Raw genomic sequence first — 24,637 nt, forward strand, 5'->3', positions numbered from 1 at the left:
GGGTACCGGACATACATGGCAGTTCTTTGTACTTTTCGCTCAAATTTTCTGTGAGCCTAAAACTGCTTTAACGAAACACAATTAAAAATGAAACAAAACCGGCCGGGCACGGTGGCTCATGCCTGTAATCTCAGCACTTTGGGAGGCCGAGGCAGGTGGATCATTTGAGGACAGAAGTTTGAGACCAGCCTGGCCAACATGGTGAAACCCTAAAAATACAAAAATTAGCTGGGCGGTAGTGGCGTGTGCCTGTAATCCCAGTTACTTGGAAGGCTGAGACATGAGAATTGCTTGAGCCTGGGAGGTGGAGGTTGCAGTGAGCTGAGATTGCACCACTGCACTCCAGTCTGGGCAGCCGAGTGAGACCCTGTCTCAAAACAAAACAAAACAAAACCACTGTTTAGTCTCTGAAATAAAGGTCAATATCATATAAAGCAAAACTCTTCAAATGCTGTCCTTAAGATTTATGCATTTTACCACGTGTAAATGTTTCCTAAAACAAACAAGCAAAGAATATCGGATTCCATTAATGCTATGAATGCTGAAGCGTCTAGAGGTGGTGTGTACTGATCTTTGCAATTTACTTTGAAATGCATTAAAAATGTATTGATAGATAGAAGAATGGGGAGAAGAGATGTGATAAAGGAAATAAGGCCATATATATATATATATATATATATATTTTTTTTTTTTTTTTTTTTTTTTTTTTTTTTTTTGTAGACGGGGTCTTGTTCTGTTGCCCAGGCTGGAGTGCAGTGGTGTGATCTCGGCTCCCTGCAACCTCTGTCTCCCAGGTTCAAGCAATTCTCCTGCCTCAGCCTCCCAAGTAGCTGGGACTACAGGTGCGCCATCACACCCAGCGAATTATTTGTACTTTTAGTAGAGATGGGGTTTCGCCATGTTGGCCAGGCTGGTCTTGAACTCCTGGCCTCAAGTGATCCACCTGCCTCGGCCTCCCAAACTGCTGGGATTACAGGCACAAGCCACTGCGCCCAGCCCAGGCAAAATGTTAATGGTAGAATCCTGGTGGTGGGTATGTGAACGTTCACTGGACAGTTTGTTATTTTTTTTTGAGACACACGGTCGTGCTCTGTGGTCCAGGCAAGAGTGCAGTGGCATGATCATAGTTCACTGTAACCTTGAACTTCTGGGCTCAAGGGAGCCTCCCATCTCAGCTTCCAGAGTAGCTGAGACTACAGGCGTACACCACCAGGCGTGGTTAATTTTTTTCTTTAAATTTTGTGTACAGTTGGTGTCTCACTATGTTGCCCAGGTTGGTCTTGAACTCCTGGCCTCAAGCAATCCTCTTCCCTTGGCCTCCCAAAGTACTGGGATTACAGGTGTAAGCCAATGCACCCAGCCTTCACTGTACAGGTTTTTCAACTCTTCTGTAAATGTATTTTCATAATAAAATGTTGGGAGAAAATCTCCAATATGGAATCTGTTTTCCATGGCAAATCCCTAATCGCAGGTACCACAGCCCCACTGTTTCCCTCTATCAGTGTTCTTCAAACCATTTTGAAATTATCTGGAGGACATAGGTGTCTTCCCTTCTCCCAGTTTCTGGCATAACCTTTTGGATAACTATATAAAACACGTCCAGTCTCCATGCCACATACTGTGGGAAGTCCAGCACTTTCCTCAAGATATCTCATGATTCCTTGAGAGGAAGTGAAGTGGGGTAAATATTATCCTGGTCACTTGGAGTGCTGTCGCCCTGGCACCTGGCTCAAGTCCAGAGACACAGGTCGGGCTCAGTCGGCATAGGACGAACTCAGTGTACCCAGCCAGGCTGAGCTTGGTCGGTGATGTCTTCCTCCCTGCTGCCATTTGAGCCTCAGTCCTCATCTGCAGAAATTCTGGTCCCAGGGGACCGCCCAGACGGCTTCCCTCGCTGCCTGGCGCCTCCAGCTGTCTTAAAGCTTCGGCCGGCACTGGCGCAGCCTCCCTCCAGCTGTACCAGGAAACAGGACACAAATGCTGAGGGTCTGGGTCACCAGGCCATGTGAGGAAACCAGCTACCACAACCAGGGCTTGCTGAGACAGGATCCCAGGTGTGGGGGACAGTGCTGCTGAGCCGTCACGGTGGCCTGCTGGCCCTGGGAGAACCCAGGGCTCTGTTCTCTCAGGGGCCCCTGGGCTGTCCTGCGGGAGTGGAGTGGGTGTGAAGGACAGAAAGACAGACTGAGGGGTGGCTTCCTGCCAGGGTGTCCACCACACCTCCTTCCGATCTTGAGCGCGCCTTTCCCTGCAGTTCTGAAGGAAGTGGTCCCTGGAGCTCTGTGCTCAGCGGCCCCAGCTCTTTAAAGAAAAAACACCCTGGCCGGGTGTGGTGGCTCACGCCTGTAATCCCAGCACTTTGGGAGGCCGAGGTGGGTGGATCACGAGGTCAGGAGTTCAAGACCAGCCTGGCTAAGATGGTGAAACCTCGTCTCTATTAAAAATACAAAAATTAGCCAGGCATGGTGGCAGGCACCTGTAATCCCAGCTACTCGGGAGGCTGAGGCAGGAGAATTGCTTGAACTCTGCAGGGCGGAGGTTGCAGTGAGCCGAGATTGCACCACTGCACTCCAGCCTGGGCAACAGAGTGAGACTCCGTTTCAATAAAAAAAAAAAAAAAAGAAAGAAAGGAAAAAACACCCTGGAAATCAGAGGAATTGCATTTTTAGAATTGAAGCCTGAGACCAGAGAGGGTGTGACCTGTGGCTGAGAGCAACGCGGGCCAGATCCCAGATTAGCCAGGTCCGGATGCCAGGCAGCCCCTCCCTGGACCAGCACGCCCGTCCGGTGACTCGTCCCTAAGCCTCGTGCTGACAAGGAGGGTGAGCAGGCTGCGGGGAGGGGTCAGAGCTGTGTGGAGTCAACCAGCCTGCTCTTCCCATGGCCTGTGCTTCCCCCGCCCCAGCCCCTCCAGCCAGGTCACCCCTCCCAGCCAGAGGATGGGCACCTGAGTACAGCTGCCAGCCAGGGACAGGCTTCAGGCTGCCTCCACCCTGCCCTTCTTCTTCTCTCCCTCTTTCCTCCCCACCCTCTTCCTCCCTCCTTTCTTCAGGCATTCACAGACAGGGCTGCCCACAAGGCTGCAGATCCTCAAGAACCAAAGGGAAATTCCTGCCTGCTTGTCTCTTCCAAAAAGCCGCTCGCAAAGACAGACATCTACAAACATCTACAGTAAAAAGATGAATAGTGTAAAAAATAACAACTTCCTGTTCCATTCTCCACTTGAGACAAACGGGACTGCATGGTTTGTTGCATGTGGGCACTGCACTTCCTTCCTGTGGTCCCCCCACCTGCCACGGGAGTGTCCCTCTCCCTCATCTCCTGGATCCCCGAGGGACGCAGGGCTCCCCTCTGCACTTCTTCAGGCCTCTCATCTTAGTTCCTGCTGGCCGTCAGCTCACTTGTCCAGGGCACCCGGTTCTGTTGCCCAGCCTGGCACCTGATACTAGCAGTTCTCAATGAATACTGAGAATGACGTGAATATGAAAAATTGTAGGCTCTATGCTTGCCTCCGATGTCCCAGGGGCCTGGCAAATGGCAGAAGGTGGGTAGTTCCCCCCCTCCTTTTTTTTTTTTGAGACAGGGTCTCACTCTGTTGCTCAGGCTGGAGTGCAGTGACACAGTCATAGCTCACTACAGCCTTGACCTCCTGGGCTCAAGTGATCCTTCCACCTCAGTTCAGCCTTCTGAGTAGCTGAGACTATAAGGGTGCATCACCATGCCTGGATAATTAAAAAAAATTTTTTTTGTAGAGTCAGGGTCTTACTATGTTGCCCAGGTTGTCCATGCCTTTTAACCCCAGGCAGTACCTTAGGAGCCCAACCTAGGAGCTGCTAACGGCTCCAAGGACTGCAGGATCTCCTGAGGATCATGGCAGAAGTCAGGGACTTAAGGGACCCGAAGAGTCTGCTCCCCTTGAAAAGGGAGCAAGAGCAGCATCTCTGTGCAAAGGAAGCCTGGAGAAGCAGCAGCCCAGCCCTCCTCTCATGCTTGCTTGAGGGTTGCCCTTGCAGCTGCGTCAGGTGCTGAGCAGGCTGTGGGGAAGAGGACACCAGCCCCTCCTGTTCTCTGCTTACAGGCTGAGGAGAAGGCAGCTGTGTAAGCTGACCACATACTACACATTGGGGAAGGGACAGGTGGGTGGTCAGAGGAGGCCTTGACCCAGGCAGGTGCTGTCAGAAGCGGCTTCCCCCAGGAAGTGACGATCATTTGAATCCTGGAGCACTGGGGGGAATGGGGGAGGGAGAACATTCTAGGCACAGTGAATACTATGTACAGGGGCATGGCTATGTGAGAGACCAGGGTGAACTCAGGAACAGATAAGGGTGTTCAGAGCACAGGAGACCAGGAGGTTGGCAGCACCAGGCCCTGGGGGCCTTGTTGACCAACCCAAGGAATTTGAAGTTGCTGCAGACAGTGATGCGTGGCAGCACTGGTGGATGAATTGGCCTTTTCTCCTTTCCCCCAACACTCCAGGGTCATTCCTGCCTGAGGACTCCTGCCCTCAGAGCTCTCCTGGGGCTTTTATTTATTTTGTTTTGAGACAGAATGTGGCTCTGTTGCCCAGGCTTGAGTGCAGTGGTGTGATCTTGGCTCACTGCAACCTCTGCCTCCCAGGTTCAAGCGATTCTCCTGCCTCAGCCTCCCGAGTAGCTGGGACTACAGACGTGCGCCACCACGCCTGGCTAATTTGTTGTATTTTAGCAGAGATGTGGTTTCACTGTGTTGCCCAGGTTGGTCTTGAACTCCTGAAGGCAATCCACCTGCCTCGGCCTCCTGAAGTGTTGGGATTACAGGCGTGAGCCACCTCGCCGGCCTCTCCTGGGGCTTTGAACGCCTGCCTCCCTCCTCTCATTTGGGTCTCAGGTCACCCGCCTGCCTCTGAGTTCACCCCTGACCACCTAGACTCTGCCTGTTCCATCATCTTTGTTCCATCTCTGCCTGTTCCATCATCTCGGCAAGATCCGGTATTTCCTTATGTGTTTATGGCCTACTTCTCCTCACTGGAATGTAAACTCTTAGAAAGCAGAGATCTTATCTATCTTGTTCACCTATGCATCCTTGGCTGTTATGAGGATCATGGGAGAGCAACAAATATTTATTGAGGAAATAAAAGAACAAGGTAATAAAGCCAGAACAAAGTGGTGGCAGTGGAGATGGATTCAAGAAATACTGAGAGGCCGGGCATGGTGGCTCACACCTGTAATCTCAGCACTTTGGGAGGCCAGCTGGGAGGATCACTTGTGGCCAGGAGTTCGAGATCAGTCTGGGCAACATAGCAAGATCTCCTCTCTGCAAAAAATTTAAAAAACATTAGCTGGGAGTGGTGGTGCACACCTGTAGTCCCTAGCTACTTGGGAGGCTGAGGCAAGAGGATCTCTTGAGCCCAGGAGTTCGAGGTTACGGTGAGCTGATTGCCACTGCCCTCCAGTCAGGGTGACAAAGATACCCTAACTCAAAGAAATATTGAGGAAGTAGAATCTTTTCCACCTGTTGTAGTAGGGCGTAAGGGAGCGGTGCAGGCATCCCAGGTTTCTGGCTAGGGTTGTGGGTGAGCAGAGGGGACAGTTACTGGGCGCAGCGGCACAGAAAGAATGAGCAGTCGATGCTTGGCGGTGCCCAGCCCAGTGGCTGAACTTAGTGACATCCAAGCTGCAGTCTGGCTGAAATCACTAACCTGAAAGTGGTATGGAGAAAGTTTGTTTGACCCTGACTCAGTGCCTCTCCCCGGGCCAACCCTACCGTGTTACCTAGGAGCTCCCCCTTTGTCTTTATAAATGAGATAAAAGTAACCAGACCTCCCTGGAAAAACCGAGGAGCACTTGCTTCTCTGGTGACTGCGGGGCCTAACTGCAGGGTTCACAAAGGGCTGCTGGTGCTGGGTGATAACATCGGAAAGGAACAGCAGTTCACAAGATGGGGCTGGGGGACTGGCCCAGGAACCCCTCCAGGTTAAATGATGCCTCCGGGCCCCGCACTTGGGACGTCTGCAGGCACTGGGAGGGTTTTTCCCAAGCCGCTGGCAGCAGCGAGCGGAGCCTCGCCCATTGAATCAGCATGCCCTCCCGGCTGGCTGCTGAGTCAGGCCTGCGGAGCCGGCGAAGCCGCAGGACTTGACCCAGGCGCGCTCCGCTGCCCTTCAGGCCGGGCTGGAGGTCGAGGCCCTGCAGCCAGGGAGATGCGCCGGTGGCTGCGTGGGGACAGAGGGGGGTTGTCTCCCACCCTCACAGTCTACACCCCGGCCCTTCCCCTTTGCCCGTCTGAGGCGCAGTTTGTGTCGAGGGGGAGCGCCTGGAAAGTTTCCTCGTACAGATACGAGGGTCCAAAAGCCCCGAGGAGAGGGAATAATGAGAAGGGGAGGGCGCAGGGTTAGAGGTCAGGGTCTCGACCAAAGGCTGTCGGTTTTCCTGGAGGAGGGAGAAAGGCCTGGCCGGGATCATCTGATTCCGGGGCCTCCCGAAGGCCTCCTAGCTGGGTTTTGGGGGGACCGAAACGAGCGCATGAAGCTCGCGGGCCTGGGAGTGGGGTGGGGCGGGAGCCCAGTGGTGGCGGCTGCGGCCGGGCCTGCACCGTCCCCGGCCGCATTCTGGTAGGGCCCACAGTCCGGCTGGAAGGGAAGCTGCCGAAGCGCTCGGTCATCGCGGCTGCGGAGTCGGAGAGGCCAGGGCCTGGCCGCCCACCCCGCGAGCCGCGCCCTGCCCCGAGCGCCCCACCCCCGTCCGCGTTACAACCGGGAGGCCCGCTGGGTCCTGCACCGTCACCCTCCTCCCTGTGACCGCCCACCTGATACCCAAACAACTTTCTCGCCCCTCCAGTCCCCAGCTCGCCGAGCGCTTGCGGGGAGCCACCCAGCCTCAGTTTCCCCAGCCCCGGGCGGGGCGAGGGGCGATGACGTCATGCCGGCGCGCGGCATTGTGGGGCGGGGCGAGGCGGGGCGCCGGGGGGAGCAACACTGAGACGCCATTTTCGGCGGCGGGAGCGGCGCAGGCGGCCGAGCGGGACTGGCTGGGTCGGCTGGGCTGCTGGTGCGAGGAGCCGCGGGGCTGTGCTCGGCGGCCAAGGGGACAGCGCGTGGGTGGCCGAGGATGCTGCGGGGCGGTAGCTCCGGCGCCCCTAGCTGGTGACTGCTGCGCCGTGCCTCACACAGCCGAGGCGGGCTCGGCGCACAGTCGCTGCTCCGCGCGCGCGCCCGGCGGCGCTCCAGGTGCTGACAGCGCGAGAGAGCGCGGCCCTCAGGAGCAAGGCGGTGAGTCCCCGGCGTGCGCCCCGGACCGCGGCCCCCTCCTCATCCTCCGCCCCGTCCCTGTCCCGCTCCTCTTCGGACCCGCCCCGGCCGTAACTCTGTCCCCATCCAGGCCTCCTTCCCGGTTTGGGTCCCGGCCCCTCTCCGTTCCCACCCCGGTACCCGCCCCAGTTCACCGCCCCGGCCGGTCCGCGACCCCTTCCAGGTTCAGGTCGGGTTCTTGTCCCCGGCCCTTTTGCCAGCCCCGGCTCCCGGCGCCGCGCGTCCTCCCCATCCGCGTCCCACTGCAGGTTCCGGTCCCCGGCCCTGCCCAGGGCCCCGCCCTGGCCCCGCATCCCCGGCTTGGCCCTGCTGCGGGCGGCGGCGGCCGTTCCCGGGGACAGCTGTGGACCCCGGGAACCCGCGACAGGGGAGGTGGCTGACCCCGGGATCGCGGCGGGCGGGGAGGCCGGAGGCCCGGCGGGGCTGGCTTTGTCCGATTCCTCCTCTTCCTTCCACCCCCGCCTCTCCCGGCACCGCCCTGAGCGGACGCGCCTGTCATTCTCGCGGGCGGCGGGGGGCCGGGTCCCTCCCGAGAGCTGGCTCCGCTTTGCCTCCTTGGCGACCCCTTATTTTCAGTAACCAGATGCGAAACGTTTCAGGCGACCCTGTTCACCTAGGCTGGCGTTGCTCCAACTAAACTTGAAGCAGCCTCCGTCCTGGAATGCTTTTTCCATGTAAAATTGGGTGTACCCTTTTCCTTAAGAAAATTAAAATAAAGCGTAAAAGTAGTGAAATTAATGCGTGATGGAGTGGATGGTTTTATAACTTAACATTTGTAGGTCATTTCTAGGTATATTTGTATTAGAATTGTTGCTGCCTGTTACTGTTTTATTATTTAAATGAATTAAGAATTTACATATTAAGCGTTTGAAAAGGAATACTTACAAAAATGATGTTTTTTAAAAATGTGAGAACAAAAAATTTGAGATATACTATTTCAGGTGTTCTGTAAAAGGGCAGTTAGAGCTTTGATTCTTTGCATTAGTTAAATCCCAAGGCCTTTTTTTTTGGTACGGCATGACTAAGCCATTGATCAGAATCAGCTCGGAATACATTGCACTAGTTTAGTGAAAGACACTTTAGAAAACTGGAAGAACCTCCTGAAGTTATATTACAGACATGGCCTTGCTTCTTTCAGGGATTGTCAGCAAGCCTGTTATGGTGAGAAATTTGACCTATTGCTCTGTTTCCTAAATATTTGTAGGAATACAATGATACTAAGTATGAAGTATATTTCAACTTGTATGGAATTCTGTGTGGGAGGGTAGGCACTCTAAAGAGCCAGTGTCTCTCCAAGTCATCAAAGAATGCAGCATCATGTTGCAGTTGAGCCTGGCAGCCCTGTCTGGCACTGAGTGCTGTGGAGGACCCAGGTGGTAACCTCTAACCCTACTGCAGCCTTGGCATTGTCTTAGAGAAAAGCATCCAGACATGCACAGGACTCTGGACAGCGTTTATCTCCAGCAAGGGGGGAGGGAATGACACTGGGGAGAGGCACACAGTATCTTCAGTATTTCATAGCAAATAACTGCAGTCGTTTAAACTTACACATTTTTTTTTTTTTTGAGATGGAGTCTCGCTCTGTCGCCCGGGCTGGAGTGTAGTGGCGCGATCTCGGCTCACTGCAAGCTCCGCCTCCCGGGTTCACGCCATTCTCCTGCCTCAACCTACTGAGTAGCTGGGACCACAGGCGCCCGCCACCACGCCCGGTTAATTTTTTGTATTTTTAGTAGAGATGGGGTTTCAACATGTTAGCCAGGTTGGTCTTGATCTCCTGACCTCGTGATCCGCCCACCTCGGCCTCCCAAAGTGCTGGGATTACAGGCGTGAGCCACCGCACCTGGCCCAAATTTATACATTTTTAAAATTTATACATTCTTAGGCATGTTTCTCAATGTTGGAAAAAAGTCAATGTGTAACTTTCTGTATAGGGCCATAAATTATCTTAAAACATACTTGTATAAAAAGAAACCTAGGATAGAAAAATCAAAAGTTGAGTGAAATGTATGATTAGTATCACCTGAAAACATTCTTTGTAGATAAGTGGAATGTTAGAAACCAGTATTTTATTTTTATTTATTTAGAGATGAGTCTCACTGTGTGGCTCAGGCTAGAGTGCAGTGGTGTGATCCCCGCTCACTGCAACCTCCGCCTCCCAGGTTCCAGTGATTCTCCTGCCTCAGCCTCCCTAGTAGCTGGGATTACAGGTGCCCACTACCACACCAGGCTGATTTTTTGTATTTTTAGTAGAGACGGGGCTTCACCATGTTGGCCAGGCTGGTCTCAAACTGCTGACCTCAGGCGATCCACCCGCCTCAGCCTCCCAAAGTGCTAGGGTTACAGGTGTGAGCCATTGCACCTGGGCTGAAACCAGTATTTTATGTAGCAAAGAAATGATCAGTAATATACTCAAGACGAGAGTATTTGGGAAGATTTAAGTGTCAAATTTCAGGGCATAGAATAAAAGTGACAAGCACATTAAGATTGCAAATACTGGTCTTAAATGTCTGTTGGGAACCAACTGAATGGCAGGTACTGTGCTGAGTAGTCAGCGATACCTTGATAAAAGAGCCACTGTTGGCCGGGCGTGGTCATGCCTGTAATCTTAACTCTTTGGGAGGCTGAGGCTGCAGATCGCCCCTAGCTCTTTGGGAGGCCGAGGCAGGTGGATCACCTGAGGTCAGGAGTTTAAGACCAGCCTGGCCAACATGGTGAAACCCCGTCCCTACCAAAAATACAAAAATTAGCCAGGTGTGGTGGTGCACACCTGTAATTCCAGCTACTCATGAGGCTGAGGAAGGAGAATCGCTTGAACCGGGAAGTGGAGGTTGTAGTGAGCCGAGATCACGTCACTGCAGTCCAGCCAGACTCCGTCTCAAAACAAACAAAAAGAGCCGCTGTCAGCCGTGCAGTGGCTCACTCCTGTAATCCCAGCACTTTGGGAGGCCAAGATGGACCGATCACCTGAGGTCAGGAGTTTGAGACCCGCCTGGACAACATGGTGAAACCCTGTCTCTACTAAAAATACAAAAAAAACCAAAACCGGGTGTGGTGGCGGGTGCCTCTAATCGCAGCTACTCAGAAGGCTGAGGCTGGAGAATCGCTTGAACTGGGGAGGCAGAGGTTGCAGTGAGCCGAGATCACGCCATTGCACTCCAGCCTGGGCAACAAGAGCAAAACTCTGCCTCAAAAAAAATAAAACCAAAAAACAAAAAAACTCTGTCCTCTAGGAGCTCACAGGCTGGCATGGGCAGGTACCACAGACCAGGTTAAAGGCTGTGGAGTGCACTGAGGAGGCGATTCTTCACAAAAGAAAAGTACCAATCAGCCAGTGTCAGGGGGTCAGGGGTGGGATTGGGATTGGGGTTCCTGCTTGGAGGAAATAAATCCTGAGGTTGTGCTGCTGTAAAGGGGCATGTTGGGAAGGGGACATGGGAGTGAGTGTGGAAAGACGAGGTTAGGAAAGGCCTTGAATGACTTCTTAGAAGTCTGCTTTCATTCTGAGGTTTACAAAGGAGGGTTGGAAGATTTTTTTTTTTTTTGAGATGGAGTCTTGCTCTGTCACCCAGGCTGGAACGCAGTGGCACGACCTCTGCTCACTGCAGCCTCTACCTCCCAGGTTCAAGTGATTCTCCTGCCTCAGCCTCCCGAGTAGCTGGGACTACAGGTGCGTGCCACCACATCCGGCTAATTTTTTGTATTTTTAGTAGAGTCGGGGTTTCACCACGTTAGCCAGGATGGTCTCCATCTCCTGACCTCGTGATCCGCCCGCCTTGGCCTCTCAAAGTGCTGGGATTACAGGCGTGAGCCACCGCGCCTGGCCGGAGGGTTGGAAGATTCTGAGGAGCCAGTTGCCACTTTAGAAAGAGCATAGGCAGTGGTGGGGCAGGTGCTGTGAACTGGGATGAGGTTAATTAGGAAGCCATTAACCCCAACTCGGCAAGCCTCAGGATTAGGGCAGTGACAGAAGGAACAGAGAAGCTAGGTGGGGGCAGGGGCTGGGCTGTAAGGGTTATAGTGGAGCTGATTTGGGGCTGACTGGATTGGGGTAAATGAGGAGCTGCAGGGAGGACTCCCCAGAATGATCCTGTGAAAACCTGAGTCACTCCTCTGTTAAAGCTTTTGTCAGTGTCCTCTGAGCACCCCACCCTGTCTCTTTTCATCTTCCTGCTCTGGCCCTACTCAAGCACTTCCAGGTGCATCTGGAGTTCTGAACCAAACCCATTCTTGTAGTGATTAGCATTTCTTCACTTCCCCACATACTCCTTAGCCTCTGCCCTGATTTTTCTCCTTAGCACACCTCACTATCTTAAATGCTGTATTATTATTATTTTTTTTTTATTATTACTTTTTGAGACGGAGTCTCGCTCTGTCACCCAGGATGGAGTGCAGTGGCATGATCTCAGCTCACTGCATCCTCTGCCTCCCGGGTTCAAGCCATTCTCCTGCCTCAGCCTCCCAAGTAGTTGGGACTACAGGCATGTGCCACCACACCTAGCTAATTTTTGTATTTTTAGTAGAGACAGGATTTCACCATGTTGGCCAGGCTGGTCTCGAACTCTTGACCTTAAGTGATCCACCTGCCTCAGCCTCCCAAAGTGCTGGGATTACAGGCCTGAGCCACCGTGCCTGGCCAATACTGTATTATTTTAATCATTTTAAAATTTTTATTGTTTGTCTCCACTTAACATTCATAACCTCCACAAGGATGGGGAGTTTTGTCTCTTGTATTCAGTGTCGGTGCTTGGCGTGTAATAGGAACTTAGTAAATGTTTGTTGAAGGAATGCATCTAGAATGATCCTCATCTCTAATTTGGGTGATTCACTGGCTGGTGACACTCATCCAAGGAGGGAAAATGGGAGAAGGATGAGATTATGAGTTTGTTTTTGGACATGTTAAATCTGAAGTGCTTGTGGGGCAGCCAAGTGGACTAGTGGGCAGTTAGAGATACATCTTTGGAGCTCAAGACAGAGGCTGAGGCTGGAGGTAAAGATTCCAGAGACTGCATCATATCGTTGAGCCAGTCGGGTGTGATGTCCATCTGGTAGAGATGGGGAGTGGGTCTAAGAGGAGAGGGTCCTGGGAAACCAAGAGAAGAGGAGGGAGGAGATCAGTAGCAAATTGGCTAAGAAGTCAGTGATGGGTTGGACTGAGAAGTCTCTATGGATTTTGCTTCTAGGAGGTTACTAATGACCTTTAACTTTTTTTTTTTTAAATATAGTTTATGTAGAGACGGGGGTCTCACTGTGTTTCCCAGGCTGGTCTCGAATTCCTGGGCTCAAGCCATCTGCCTGCCGTGGCCTCCCAAAGTGTCGGGATTACAGGTTTGAGCCACTGCACCCGGCCTGTTGCCTGTTTCCTGAGAATATTACCTCTTAAGGATGGAGGCTATTTCGAGATGATCTTCATTCGTTCTCCCAAGGCATCCTTTGTGGCGTTGTACTCTGTAGCCTCCTAGTTAGTATACTCATGGATCAGAAATGAATTATGATTTTTTTTTAGTTTTAACTAATTTTTGGAGGCAGATGAAAGCAGTTTGCATATATGCTTTTTGAATTTGAAAAGTGCTATCTGAACTTAAAGCAACGGATATGGAGCAAACATGTTAAGCTGAGTTACGTGCATACGTGAACTGAGTTACTTCCTTGGTTCTAAAATATCTGTTACCTTCATTTAAACCATAGATTGTTCCCTGACTTCAGTTGCATAACATAAATTTATGTTCAGGCTTCTCTGAAGTTCACTATGCTGCTACTAAAACTGATCAGAGTGATGTTTGCACTGTTCCAGAGAAAATAGGTACTGTAAACCCTGCGGATGTCATATGTGTCTGTAGTTTCAGTTACTCCGAAGGCTGAGGTGGGAGAATCAGTTGAGCCCAGGAGTTCAAACTAGCTTGGGCAATATAGTGAGACCTTGTTTCTTAAAAAAATAAAAGGCTGTGCTTGGTGGCTAATGTCTGTAATCCCAGCACTTTGGGAGGCTGAGGAGGGCGGATCACCTGAGGTCAGGAGTTTGAGACCAGCCTGGCCAACATGGGTGAAACCTTGTCTCTACTAAAAATATAAAATTAGCCGCGTGTGGTAGTATGCTTCTGTAGTCCCGGGTATTTGGGAAGCTGAGGTAGGAGAATCACTTGAACCCGGGAGGCGGAGGTTGCAGTGAGCCAGATCGAGCCACGGCACTCCAGCCTGGGCGACAGAGTGAGACTCCCATCTCAAAAAGAAAAAAAAAAAGTAAAATAGGTACTGTTACTGAGATTCTACTGTTGAGGAATTTGAGGGTGAGAGAGGGGAAGTTTCAGAAACCAAAGTTACACAGCTGTGAAGTCAAGATTCTAACTCAGTTTTTTTGCTTCGCGGTATAAGCTTTGAATCACCTTGCAGTACTTAAAGCTGCAGCTTCAAGTGAATCATGATAATGCTGTTTAATCCTATCATTACTTTTTCTTGGGGAAACCTCGCGCCACTTCAATTTTTTTCAAAGATGTACCATTTTAACCATTTAAAAGTTCACAATTCAGTAGTGTTAAGGATATGCACATCGTTGTTCCACATTTCTGGAACTCTTTCATCTGGCAGCGCTGAGACTGTAGCCCCCAAATACTGATATCTCCTCCTCCCTCGCCCTCCCCCGGTAACCATCTTTTCTACTTTGTTTCTATGATTTTGACTACTTTCAATACTTTATTTTTTATTTTTTTTGAGATGGAGTTTCACTCTTGTTGCCCAGGCTGGAGTGCAGTGGCACGATCTCAGCTCACTGCAACCTCTGCCTCCCGAGTTCAAACAATTCTCCTGCTTTAATTTCCTGAGTATCTGGGATTACAGTCATGGGCCACCATGCCGGGCTAATTTTGTATTTTTAGTAGAGATGGGTTTCTCCATGTTGGTCAGGCTGGTCTTGAACTCCTGACCTCAGGTGATCACCCCCCATCGGCCTCCCAAAGTGTTGGGATTACAGGCGTGAGCCACCGTGCCTGGCCTTGCCTGTCTTTTTCATCTGAGCCATTCTAGCGGGGTATAGTGGCATCTTGTTAGTTTTAATGTGCATTTCACTGATGACTCATAATGGTGAGCGCTTACATGCTTGTCGGTCTTTGTATGCCTGGATTTGTAAAGTGTCTGTTCAAGACTTTTGCCCATTTAAAAAATTGGATTGTTTGTATTTTTAAGTTCCTTACATATTTATTTATTTATTTATTTTTGAGATGGAGTCTCCTCTGTTGCCCAGGCTTGAGTGCAGTGGCGCGATCTCGGCTCACTGCAAGCTCTGCCTCCCGGGTTCACGCCATTCCCCTGCCTCAGCCTCTGGAGTAGCTGGGACTACAGGCGCCTGCCACCACGCCCAGCTAATTTTTTTTTTTGTTGTATTTTTATTAGATATGGGTTTCACCATGTTAGCCAGGATGGTCTCGATCTCCTGACCTCGTGATCCGCCCGTCTTGGCCTCCCAAAGTGCTGGTATTAACAGGCGTGAGCCACCACGCCCAGCAGTTCCTTACATGTTTTTTTTTTTTCAGATGGAGTCTTGCTCTTGCTCTATTGCCCAGGCTGACGTATTTTTTATACAAGCCGTTTGCCAGATATATATGTGTCGCAAATATTTTTTCCTAATCTATGGCTTAACTTTATTTTTTGGTAGTGCCTTTTAATAAATCAATACTTTTAATTTTTCTTAACCATGCTCTGGCAAGTTTTATTAAAGAAATTTTCGGCTGGGCGCGGTGGCTCACACCTATAATCCCAGCACTTTCGGAGGCCGAGGCGGGTGGATCATGAAGTCAGGAGTTTGAGACTACCCTGGCCAGTATGGTGAAACCCCGTCTCTACTAAAATTACAAAAATTCGCCAGGCGTGGTGGTGTGCACCTGTAGTCCCAGCTACTTGGGAGGCTGAGGCAGAAGAATCGCTTGATCCCGGGAGGCAGAGGTTGCAGTGAGTCGAGATTGCGACACTGCATTCCAGCCTGGGCAACAGAGTGAGACTCTGTTTCAAAAAAAAAAAAGAAATTTTCGCAGGGTTTATTTTTATCTTTTATTTTTTGTTGTTGCCTAAGCAACATCCGCTTTCCTTAATTCTGAAAGCATATCTATAAATAAGTCACCCAAAGGCCAAATAGATGCATTTGTTTTGTCTGGTTGTTAATGTTTTCTTTTTAAAAAAATATTTATGTATTTATTTAATTTTTGAGACAGGATCTTGCTCTGTTGCCTAGGTTGGAGTGCAGTGTCACAGTCGTGGCTCAGTGCAGCCTCGTGTTCAAGTGATCGTCCCACCTCAGCCCCTGAAGTAGCTGGGACTACATGTGCGCACCACCATGACCGGCTTGTTTTTTGTAGAGACAGGGTTTCATGGCATTGCCCTGGCTAGTCTTTAACTTCTGGGCTCAAATGATCTGCTCTCCTTGGCCTCCCAAAGTGCTGGGATTACAGACGTAAGCCACTATGCTGGGCCACCAAGATACTATTTATTTCCCTGAATATGACGTGGACTGTTCCTGTAGGCTGGTCCCTTCACCTCAGGACCCTCTTTGCTGGTATTGTTTGGGGCTTCTGCGCCTGTATATGGGGATGGGACCTGACCCTGCTGATCTGGCCAGCACTGCCAGGGTTTCCTGTTGCCCATCTCTCGGTAAAACATCCCTTATAAACCTTTGCAAGGAAAAAACCTCTGTTTTCTTCCCTCCATCCCATTTTTCCTTAATGTGCTACCCTCGTCTGTATTCATAGGAACTTTATTTAACACTTGAGAACTGAGAGTAATTGACATTTCTTTCTTGGCTGTCCTTCATTCTGTGCACCCAGACCTATTGCTTTTTCTACCACATTCTTTTTCTCTTTTAGAAAATTGAAATGTAAGTCACATCACATCAAATGCCCCATTTTAAAGCGTGCAGTGCAGTGATTTTTAATGTATTCTCTGTTTTGTGCAACTACCATCTATCTAATTCCACACATTCCTTTTCCCTTTTTAGTGCTTGGTGTTTTTTTTTTTTCTTAACTTTCTTCATCACTGTAAGCTTTCCCCACCTGGCTGAATTTCACATGATAAAACCAGGGGAGGTAAAGTGACCAAAGATGATGCCCTTTGCTTCTCTGGCCTTTGCTTTCATTTCATTAATTTTTTTTTTTTTTTTTTTTTTTGAGTCAGAGTCTCGCTCTGTCACCCAGGCTGGAGTCTGGGTGTATATGTATGAACACAGTGGGGTGTGTGGGTGTGTGTGAACATAGTGGTGTGTATGTATGAACACAGTGGGGGTGTGTGTGCGTGAGCACAGTGGTGTGTGTATGTATGAACATAGGGGTGTGTGTGAGCACAGTGGTGCATATGTATGAACATAGGGTGTATGTGTGTGAGCACAAGGGTGTGTGTGTGTGTGTGCGTGCATGCAGAGTGGTAGGGTTCCTGAAGCAGAGGGACACTTGGGGCAAAGAGACCTTGGATTGTGTTCTTCTTGTTGGTAGAATAAGCTTAAATCACTTCATGTATCCCAGTTTCCTCAGCTGTAAATGGGAATTATAATGATAGGTCATCAAACTACCTGCAGACTTTTTTTGTTGTTATTTCGATAAAATATTACACATTTGAAAATGCTCCCAAAACTAACATATTGGACAGATGCGAATTCTTCTTTCCTTTTTTTTGAGATGGAGTCTTGCTCTGTTGTCCAGGCTGGAGTACAGTGGCATGATCTTGGCTCATTGCAGCCTCAGCCTCCCAAGTAGCTGGAACTACAGGCATGTGCCACCACGCCTAGCTAATTTTTATATTTTTAGTAGAGATGGGGTTTCACCATGTTGGCCAGGCTGGTCTTGAACTCCTGACCTCAAGTGATCCGCCTGCCTCAGCCTCCCAAAGTGTTGGGATTACAGGTGTGAGCCACCACGCCTGGCTCTTTCTTGTCTTTTACTTATTTATTTTTTTGTGACAGGGTTTCGCTGTGTCACCTAGGCTGGAGTATAGTGGTACAGCCAAAGCTTACTGTAGCCTTGAGCTCCCAGGCTCAAACAATCCTCCCACCTTAGCCTCCTGAGTAGCTGGGACCACAGGCGTGTGCCACCACACCCAACTAATTTTTATTTTTGTAGAGACAGGGTCTCACTGTATTCCCCAGGCTGGTCTTGAACTCCTGGGCTCAAGCAGTGCTCCTGTCTTGGCCTCCCAAAGTGCTGGGATTACTGGTATGAGCCACCACACCCGGCCCAGATGTGAATTCTTTATTTTTATTTTATTATTTTTGAGACAGGGTCTCAACTCTGTCACCCAGGCTAGAGCACAATGGTGCAATCATGTTTCACTGCAGCCTTGATTTCCTGGACTCCAGTGATACACCTCAGCCTCCTGAGTAGCTGGGACCACAGGTGCATGTCACCACACCCAGCTAATTTTGGTATTTTTTTTTAGGATGGGGTTTTGCCATGTTTCCCTGTCTGGCTTTGAAATCCTGAGCTCAAGAGATCCACCCGCCTTGGCCTCCCAAAGTGCTGGGATTACAGGCGTGAGCCACTGAGTCAGGCTGTGAATTCTTTCTTTTATTTTCTTTATTTTTGAGACAGAGTTTCGCTCTGTTGTGGAGTGCAGTGGCACGATCTTGGCTCACTGCAAACTCCACTTTCCAGGTTCATGCGATTCTACTGCCTCACCCTCCCGAGTAGCTGGGATTACAGGTGTGCACCACTATGCCTGGCTAATTTTGTATTTTTAATAGAGACAGGGTTTCACCATGTTGACCAGGCTGGTCTCGATCTCCTGACTTCAGGTGATCGACCCACCTTGGCCTCCCAAAATTCTGGGATTACAGGCATGAGCCACTGCCCCTGGCCTGTGAATTCTTTTTTTTTTGAGACAGAGTCTCGCGCTGTCGCCCAGGCTGGAGTGCAGTGGCGCGATCTCTGCTCACTGCAAGCGTCACCTCCCGGGTTCACGCCATTCTCCTGCCTCAGCCTCCTGAGTAGCTGGGACCACAGGCGCCCGCCACCACGCCTGGCTAATTTTTTGTATTTTTGGTAGAGATGGGGTTTCACCGTGTTAACCAGGATGGTCTCGATCTCCTGACCTTGTGATCTGCCCGCCTCGGCCTCCCAAAGTGCTGGGATTACAGGCGTGAGCCACCGCGCCCGGCCCTGTGAATTCTTAATATACATATTGTATGTATACTTTTTTGGTTTTGTTTTTATCAAGTTATATATGTATTTTGTATTTATGTGTAGATTTGAAAATAAACTTTTAATTTTAGAATAGTTACAGATTTACAGAAAAGTTGCAAAGATAGTACAGAGAGTTCCCACATACTTTGCATCCAATTTCCCCTAATGTTAATATCCTACATTACTGTGATACATTTGTGACAACCAAGGAACCAACATTGGTACCTTACTATTATTATTACTATTATTTTTTTTTTCTTTTGAGACAAAGTTTTGCTAGGTCACCCAGGCTGGAGTGCAGTGGCTCCATGGCTCACTGCAACCTCTGCCTTCTGGGTTCCAGCAATTCTCCTGCCTCAGCCTCCCTAGTAGCTGGAATTACAGGCATGCGCTACTATGCCTGGCTAATTTTTGTACTTTTAGTAGAGATGGGGTTTTGCCATGTTGGCCATGCTGGTCTCGAACTCCTGCCCTTAAGTGATCCACCTGCCTCGGCCTCCCAGTGTTGGGATCACAGGTGTGAGTCACTGTGCCCAGCCTGGTACATTATTATTAACTGAACTCCACTTTATTTGGTATCACTGGTTTTTCCCTTGTCCTTGTTGTACCTCAGGATCCCATCCAAGATACCATATCACATTTAGTCATCATGCCTCCTGCTCTGTGGCTGTTTTCTTAGACTTTCCTTGCATTAGAGGACTGTCTTAGCTTGCGAGGCTGTAACAAAGTACCACAGGCTAGTGACTCACGAACAACACAAGCCACAGTCCTGGAGGCTGGAAGTCTGGGATCAGGGTGCCAGCATGGTCAGATTCTGGTGCAGACCCTCTTTCTGGTTGCATGCTACCGACTTCTAGATGTATTCTCACATGGTGAAAAGAGTGTGAGAGAGTTCCCTTTTTAAAAAAAATTTAATAATAATTATTTTTTTGAGACAGAGTCTGTCTCTGTTGCCCAAGCTGGAGTGCAGTGGCACAATCTTGGCTCACTGCAGCCTCCGCCTCCTGGGTGCACTTCATCCTCCCACCTCCACCTCAGCCTCCCAGGCTCAATTCATCCTCCCAAGTAGCTGGGACTACAGGTGCACACTACAACACCCAGATAATTTTTGTATTTTTTGTAGAGATGGGGTTTTACCATGTTGCCCAGACTGGTCTTGAACACCTGAGCTCAAGCTATCTGCCTGCCTTGGCATCCCAAAGTGTTGGGATTATAGGTATCAGCCACTATACTCTGCCTAGGTTCCCTTTATTTTTTATTTTTTTGAGACAGAGTCTCACTCCATCGCCCAGGCTGGAGTGCAGTGGCATGATCTCAGCTCACTGCAACCTCTGCCTGCTGGGTTCAAGCTATTCTCCTGCCTCAGCCTCCTGAGTAGCTGGGATTACAGGCATGCACCACCATGCCCGGCTAATTTTGTATTTTTAGTAGAGACGGGGTTTCACCATATTGACTAGGCTGGTCTCGAACTCCTGATTTCAGGTGATTCACCCACCTCGGCCTCCCAGAGTGCTGGGATTACAGGCATGAGCCACTGCTCAGCCCCTGGGTTCCCTTTTTTAAAGGCACTAATCCCACCGTGAGGGGTCCCCTCATGGCCTAATCACCTCCCAAAGGCCCCACCTCCTAAAAGCATTACTCTAGGCATTAGAATTTTAACATGTGAATTGGGGTGGGGGGCACACATTGATTCCATTGCAATAACCTTGATAGTTTTGAGACATATGGGCAAGGTATTTTGTACAATGTCCTTAAATTTGGGTTTGTCTTGATATTTTTCCCATGGTTAAGTCAGGGTTATGAGTTTTTAGGAGAAAGACTACTGGCTCCCAGTTTTGGATTCTGATTCCATTGTACCAAAACAAATCAGAACTCTTTGGAGTAATGGGTGATTCTAGGGCTGGGGCAGGGAAAATATAAGATGAGCCTGAAGCTTCTTCTAGTGTTTGAATGTAAGGATATGCTAAAAAACAAAGGGATGGGAACATGAAGAAGGGACACAGGAACCAACTGAAAGAGCTCCCATTGACAAAAGCTGGAACAACTTGAACAATAAAATAAATAATGTAGTTTTTTGGTTTTTTGGTTTTTTTTTTTTTTTTGAGACGGAGTCTCACTCTGTTGCCCAGGCTGGAGTGCAGTGGCGTGATCTCGGCTCACTGCAACCTCCACCTCCCAGGTTCAAGGCAATTCTCCTGTCTCAGCCTCCTGAGTTGCTGGGACAACAGGCGCACACCACCACGCCCGGCTAATTTTTTTGTATTTTTAGTAGAGACGGGGTTTCACCATTTTGGTCAGGTTGGTCTCCAACTCCTGACCTCAGGTAATCCACCCACCATGGCCTCCCAAAGTGTTGGGATTACAGGCATGAGCCTCCATGCCCAGCCAAGAATGTATTTTTAACAATTAGTATTTTACTTATCACCTAAAGTATAAAACAAATATCTGTAAGTCCATATTGATATAAATAATTACATTAATAAATGAGGAAAGAGACAAAGAATAGACTGATCTCCCTTAGAGAAGAATTCCAAATAATGGTAGATTCTTCCATCTTCCAGAGGGTCCTCTATAACTTTCCCCATCTCCTTGGAGTGTGGGCTGCACTTAGTGACTTGCTTCCTAAGAGTATGGAATGGGATGACTGTGTGTGGAGGTGGTGGTGATAATCTTACAGTGGCTAAACCTGCAAATGCTACCTGAGCCAGGTGGTCGAGGCTGATGTATTAGGTGTAAATCATGTTGGCACGTGCCCTTGATAGAATTGTTATGAAAAGATTCAAACCCTGTAAAATATTTGAAAAGATTTATTCTGAGCCAAATATGAGTGACCATGGCCCGTGACACAGCCCTCAGGAAGTCCTGAGAACATGTGCCCAAGGTGGTCGGGGCACAGCTTGGTTTTATACATTTTAGAGAGGCATGAGACATCAATCAGATACATTTAAGAAATACATTGGTTGACCGGGCATGGTGGCTCACGCCTGTAATCCCAACACTTTGGAAGGCCAAGGCAGGCAGATCACTTGAGGTCAAGAGTTCCAGACCAGCCTGGCCAATATGGTGAAACTCCGTCTCTACTAAAAATACAAAAATTAGCCTGGCGTGGTGGTGCATGCCTGTAATCCCAGCTACTCGGGAGGCTGAGTCAGGAGAATCACTTGAGCGCAGAAGGTGGAGGTTGCCTGGCCCGAAGGCATTTGTTTAATTTCCTTTTGCTTCCAATGTGGCTGTTAAGAAACCTAAAGTTGGCTGGGCACGGTGGCTCACGCCTGTAATCCCAGCACTTTGAGAGGCCGAGGCAGGCAGATCACGAGGTCAGGAGATCGAGACCATCCTGGGTAACATGGTGAAACCCCATCTCTACTAAAAATACAAAAAATTAGCTGGGTGTGGTTGCGGGCGCCTGTGGTCTCAGCTACCAGGGAGGATGAGGCAGGAGAATGGCCTGAACCTGGGAGGCGGAGCTTGCAGTGAGCCGTGATTGCACCACTGCACATCAGCCTGGGCAACAGAGCGAGACTCTGTCTCAAAAAAAAAAAAAAAAAAAGCCTAAAGTTATTCTCGATTCTTTCTACGTGACTTTTTTTTTTTGAGATGGAATCTCGCTTTGTCGCCCAGGCTGGAGTGCAGTGGCGTGATCTCGGCTCACTGCAACCTCCGCCTCCCGAGTTCAAGCAATTCTCTGCCTCAGCTTCCCGAGTAGCTGGGATTACAGGCTCCCGCCACCACACCCGGCTAATTTTTTTGTGTTTTTAGTAGAGATGGGCTTTCATCATATTGGCCAGACTGGTCTTGAACTCCTGACCTCCTGATCCACCCGCTTCAGCCTCCCGAAGTGCTTGGACTAAGGCGTGAGCCACCGCGCCCGGCCTGCATGACCTGTTTTTTTTCCTCCCTCTCTGGAAGTATAGAGAATATTCTCTGGGACTGGGTGTGGTAGCTCACGCCTATAATCCCAGTACTTTGGGAGGCCGAGGTAGGAGGATCACTTGAGCCCAGGACTTTGAGACCATTCTGGGCAACATAGTGAGACCCTGTCTCTACTTAAAAAGAAAAGAGAAGAGAAGAAAAAGAATATTCTCTTGTCACCAAAATATTTTAATTTTCTTAGGACAATTTTTTTGGGGGGTCAAGTTCTACCTTTAGAACAGTGCCTTGAATAAAGTAGAGGCTCAGTAAACATTTGAGGAATGGATGGATGTTACTCTTTTGGGGCTGGCCAGATTTCTTTCTTTAGTTCTGTTCTTTTCTGTTCTATTCTGTTCTTTTCCTTTTCTTTTCTTTCTCTCTCTCTTTCTTTCTTTTTCTTTGAGTTTCTTTCTTGTTGCCCAGGCTGGAGTGCAATGGGGTGATCTTGGCTCACTGCAACCTCCGCCTCCTGGGTTCAAGTGATTCTCCTGCCTCAGCCTCTCAAGTAACTGGGGTTACAGGCATGTGCCACCACACCTGGCTAATTTTGTATTTGTAGTAGAGTCGGGGTTTCTCCATGTTTGCTAGGCTGGTCTCGAACTCCCGACCTCAGGTGATCCGCCCGCCTCGGCCTCCCAAAGTGCTGGGACTACAGGCGGGAGCCACTGCGCCTGGCCTGGGGCTGGCCAGATTTCTCGGGAAAATTTGCCTGTCTTTTTTTTGGAGGCGAAGACCTAGCTGCCCTACCAGGTCTACAAACCAAGTGGTGGCTGAGAGTTGGTCATCTCCCAGGTTCCCCCTGGTGCTGCCTAGCTCAGTTCTTCTGCAGCTCCCTGCCATGCTTGTAGTGGACATCGCAGTCGCACTTCTTAGTTTAAAGCATCCACCTAATGCAGTTGTGTGTGTGTTATGCTGAACGTTGAGGATGTGTTTTGAGGAATGCATCGTTAAGTGATTTCGTTGTGGGGGCATCAGGGAGTACATTTACACAAACCTAGGAAGTATAACCTACTGCACACCTAGGCTGTATGGTGTAGCCCATTGCTCCTAGGCTAAAAACCCATACAGTATGTGGCTGTGGTAGGCAGCTGTAACAGTGGTAAATATTTGTGCAACTAAACATATCTAAACATAGAAAAGATATAGTCAAAATAGGTGTTACAATCCTTTTTTTTTTTTTGAGACAGAGTCTCGCTCTGTTGCCCAGGCTGGAGTGCAGTGGCACAATCTCAGCTCACTGCAAGTTCCGCCTTCTGGGTTCATGCCATTCTTCTGCCTCAGCCTCCCGAGTAGCTGGGACTACAGGCACCCGCCACCATGCCCAGCTAATTTTTTTGTATTTTTAGTAGAGACAGGGTTTCATCGTGTTAGCCAGGATGGTCTTGATCTCCTGACATCGTGATCCACCAGCCTCAGCCTCCCAAAGTGCTGGGATTACGGGCATGAGCCACCATGCCTGGCCTGGTGTTATAATCTTATGGGACCACTGTCAAATATGAGGTCCCTCATTGACCAAAATGTCATTATACTGCACATGACTGTATTGTACAGAATTTGTCTATTGTAAATTTGTTAGTTTGCGTCATATCTATCAGGGAGTTAGTTAAAATTCCCAAGGCCTTCTCTTTTAGTCATTAGTGTGACAGAGTAAGTAAAATATCACTCCTGTCATAAAGGACGAATTAAAAGGACAGTTTTAGTGTGTAATGAGAACTATTTTCTGAGACAGTCTTGCTTGCTCTGTCACCTACGCTGGAGTGCAGTGGCATGATCATAGCTCACGCAGCCTTGAACTCCTGGGCTCAAGCCATCTTCCCACTTCAGCCTCTCAAGTAGTTGGGAGTACAGGCACATACTACCATGCCCATCTAATTTTTAATTTTTTAATTAAAATATTATATGTATGCATATATATGTGTATATATACATATTTCAGACAAGGTCTCACTCTGTCACCCAGGCTGAAGTGCAGTGGCACAGTCATGGCTCACTGCAGCCGTGAACTGCAGACATGCATCTTTATGCCTAGCTAATTTTTTTTCTTTCTTTTTTTTCTTTTTGAAAAGATGGGACCCCTCTATGTTGCCCAGTCTGGTCTTGAACCCCTGGGCTCAAACGATGTTTCTGCTTCAGCCTCCCAAGTAGCTGGGAGTACAAGCATGTGCCACCATGCCTAGCTAATTTTTTTTGTTTTTTTGTAGAGATGGGGTCTTGCTGTCTTGCCTAGGCTGGTCTTGAATTCCTGGGTTCAAGGGATCCTCCCACCTCATCCTCCCAAAGTGCTGGGGTT

At 49.3% G+C, this 24,637-nt stretch overlaps 1 protein-coding gene and 1 long non-coding RNA gene across 33 annotated transcripts in view, besides 9 other annotated features; one reads left to right on the plus strand and one right to left on the minus strand.

Annotated features, from left to right (window-relative positions):
• Positions 3,918-3,967: a silencer, noted in NCBI's record as "silent region_6162". NCBI's record gives its function as "represses an Ori minimal core promoter by ATAC-STARR-seq in GM12878 lymphoblastoid cells {active_cell/tissue: GM12878}" and the evidence as "EXISTENCE:reporter gene assay evidence [ECO:0000049][PMID:35858748]".
• On the minus strand, positions 5,254-6,895 carry LOC105370688 (uncharacterized). The gene is made up of 3 exons (XR_944248.2): positions 6,784-6,895; positions 5,491-5,677; positions 5,254-5,292 (listed from the first exon to the last, which is right to left on the minus strand). It is a non-coding gene; the product is annotated as an uncharacterized LOC105370688 (long non-coding RNA).
• Positions 6,001-6,090: an enhancer, noted in NCBI's record as "active region_9109". NCBI's record gives its function as "activates an Ori minimal core promoter by ATAC-STARR-seq in GM12878 lymphoblastoid cells {active_cell/tissue: GM12878}" and the evidence as "EXISTENCE:reporter gene assay evidence [ECO:0000049][PMID:35858748]".
• Positions 6,531-6,730: a silencer, noted in NCBI's record as "silent region_6163". NCBI's record gives its function as "represses an Ori minimal core promoter by ATAC-STARR-seq in GM12878 lymphoblastoid cells {active_cell/tissue: GM12878}" and the evidence as "EXISTENCE:reporter gene assay evidence [ECO:0000049][PMID:35858748]".
• Positions 6,821-7,180: a silencer, noted in NCBI's record as "silent region_6164". NCBI's record gives its function as "represses an Ori minimal core promoter by ATAC-STARR-seq in GM12878 lymphoblastoid cells {active_cell/tissue: GM12878}" and the evidence as "EXISTENCE:reporter gene assay evidence [ECO:0000049][PMID:35858748]".
• KLC1 (kinesin light chain 1) overlaps positions 6,963-24,637 on the plus strand; it is a 72,334-nt gene continuing 54,659 nt past the window's right edge. For all 32 annotated transcript variants that reach the window (NM_001394832.1, NM_001394836.1, NM_001394846.1 and 29 more), the window contains exon 1: positions 6,963-7,246. The gene's annotated coding sequence lies outside the window, so the exon portion shown is untranslated. The remainder of the gene's footprint in view (positions 7,247-24,637) is intronic.
• Positions 7,231-7,350: a silencer, noted in NCBI's record as "silent region_6165". NCBI's record gives its function as "represses an Ori minimal core promoter by ATAC-STARR-seq in GM12878 lymphoblastoid cells {active_cell/tissue: GM12878}" and the evidence as "EXISTENCE:reporter gene assay evidence [ECO:0000049][PMID:35858748]".
• Positions 7,441-7,490: a silencer, noted in NCBI's record as "silent region_6166". NCBI's record gives its function as "represses an Ori minimal core promoter by ATAC-STARR-seq in GM12878 lymphoblastoid cells {active_cell/tissue: GM12878}" and the evidence as "EXISTENCE:reporter gene assay evidence [ECO:0000049][PMID:35858748]".
• Positions 7,531-7,710: a silencer, noted in NCBI's record as "silent region_6167". NCBI's record gives its function as "represses an Ori minimal core promoter by ATAC-STARR-seq in GM12878 lymphoblastoid cells {active_cell/tissue: GM12878}" and the evidence as "EXISTENCE:reporter gene assay evidence [ECO:0000049][PMID:35858748]".
• Positions 17,743-18,243: an enhancer, noted in NCBI's record as "H3K4me1 hESC enhancer chr14:104106328-104106828 (GRCh37/hg19 assembly coordinates)". NCBI's record gives its function as "activates a minimal SCP1, AML or CMV promoter by ChIP-STARR-seq in primed H9 embryonic stem cells {active_cell/tissue: H9 hESC(primed)}" and the evidence as "EXISTENCE:reporter gene assay evidence [ECO:0000049][PMID:30033119]".
• Positions 21,924-21,973: a silencer, noted in NCBI's record as "silent region_6168". NCBI's record gives its function as "represses an Ori minimal core promoter by ATAC-STARR-seq in GM12878 lymphoblastoid cells {active_cell/tissue: GM12878}" and the evidence as "EXISTENCE:reporter gene assay evidence [ECO:0000049][PMID:35858748]".

This window comes from Homo sapiens, chromosome 14, assembly GCF_000001405.40.
Source record: "Homo sapiens chromosome 14, GRCh38.p14 Primary Assembly".
In the NCBI taxonomy this organism is placed as follows: Eukaryota; Metazoa; Chordata; class Mammalia; order Primates; family Hominidae; genus Homo; species Homo sapiens.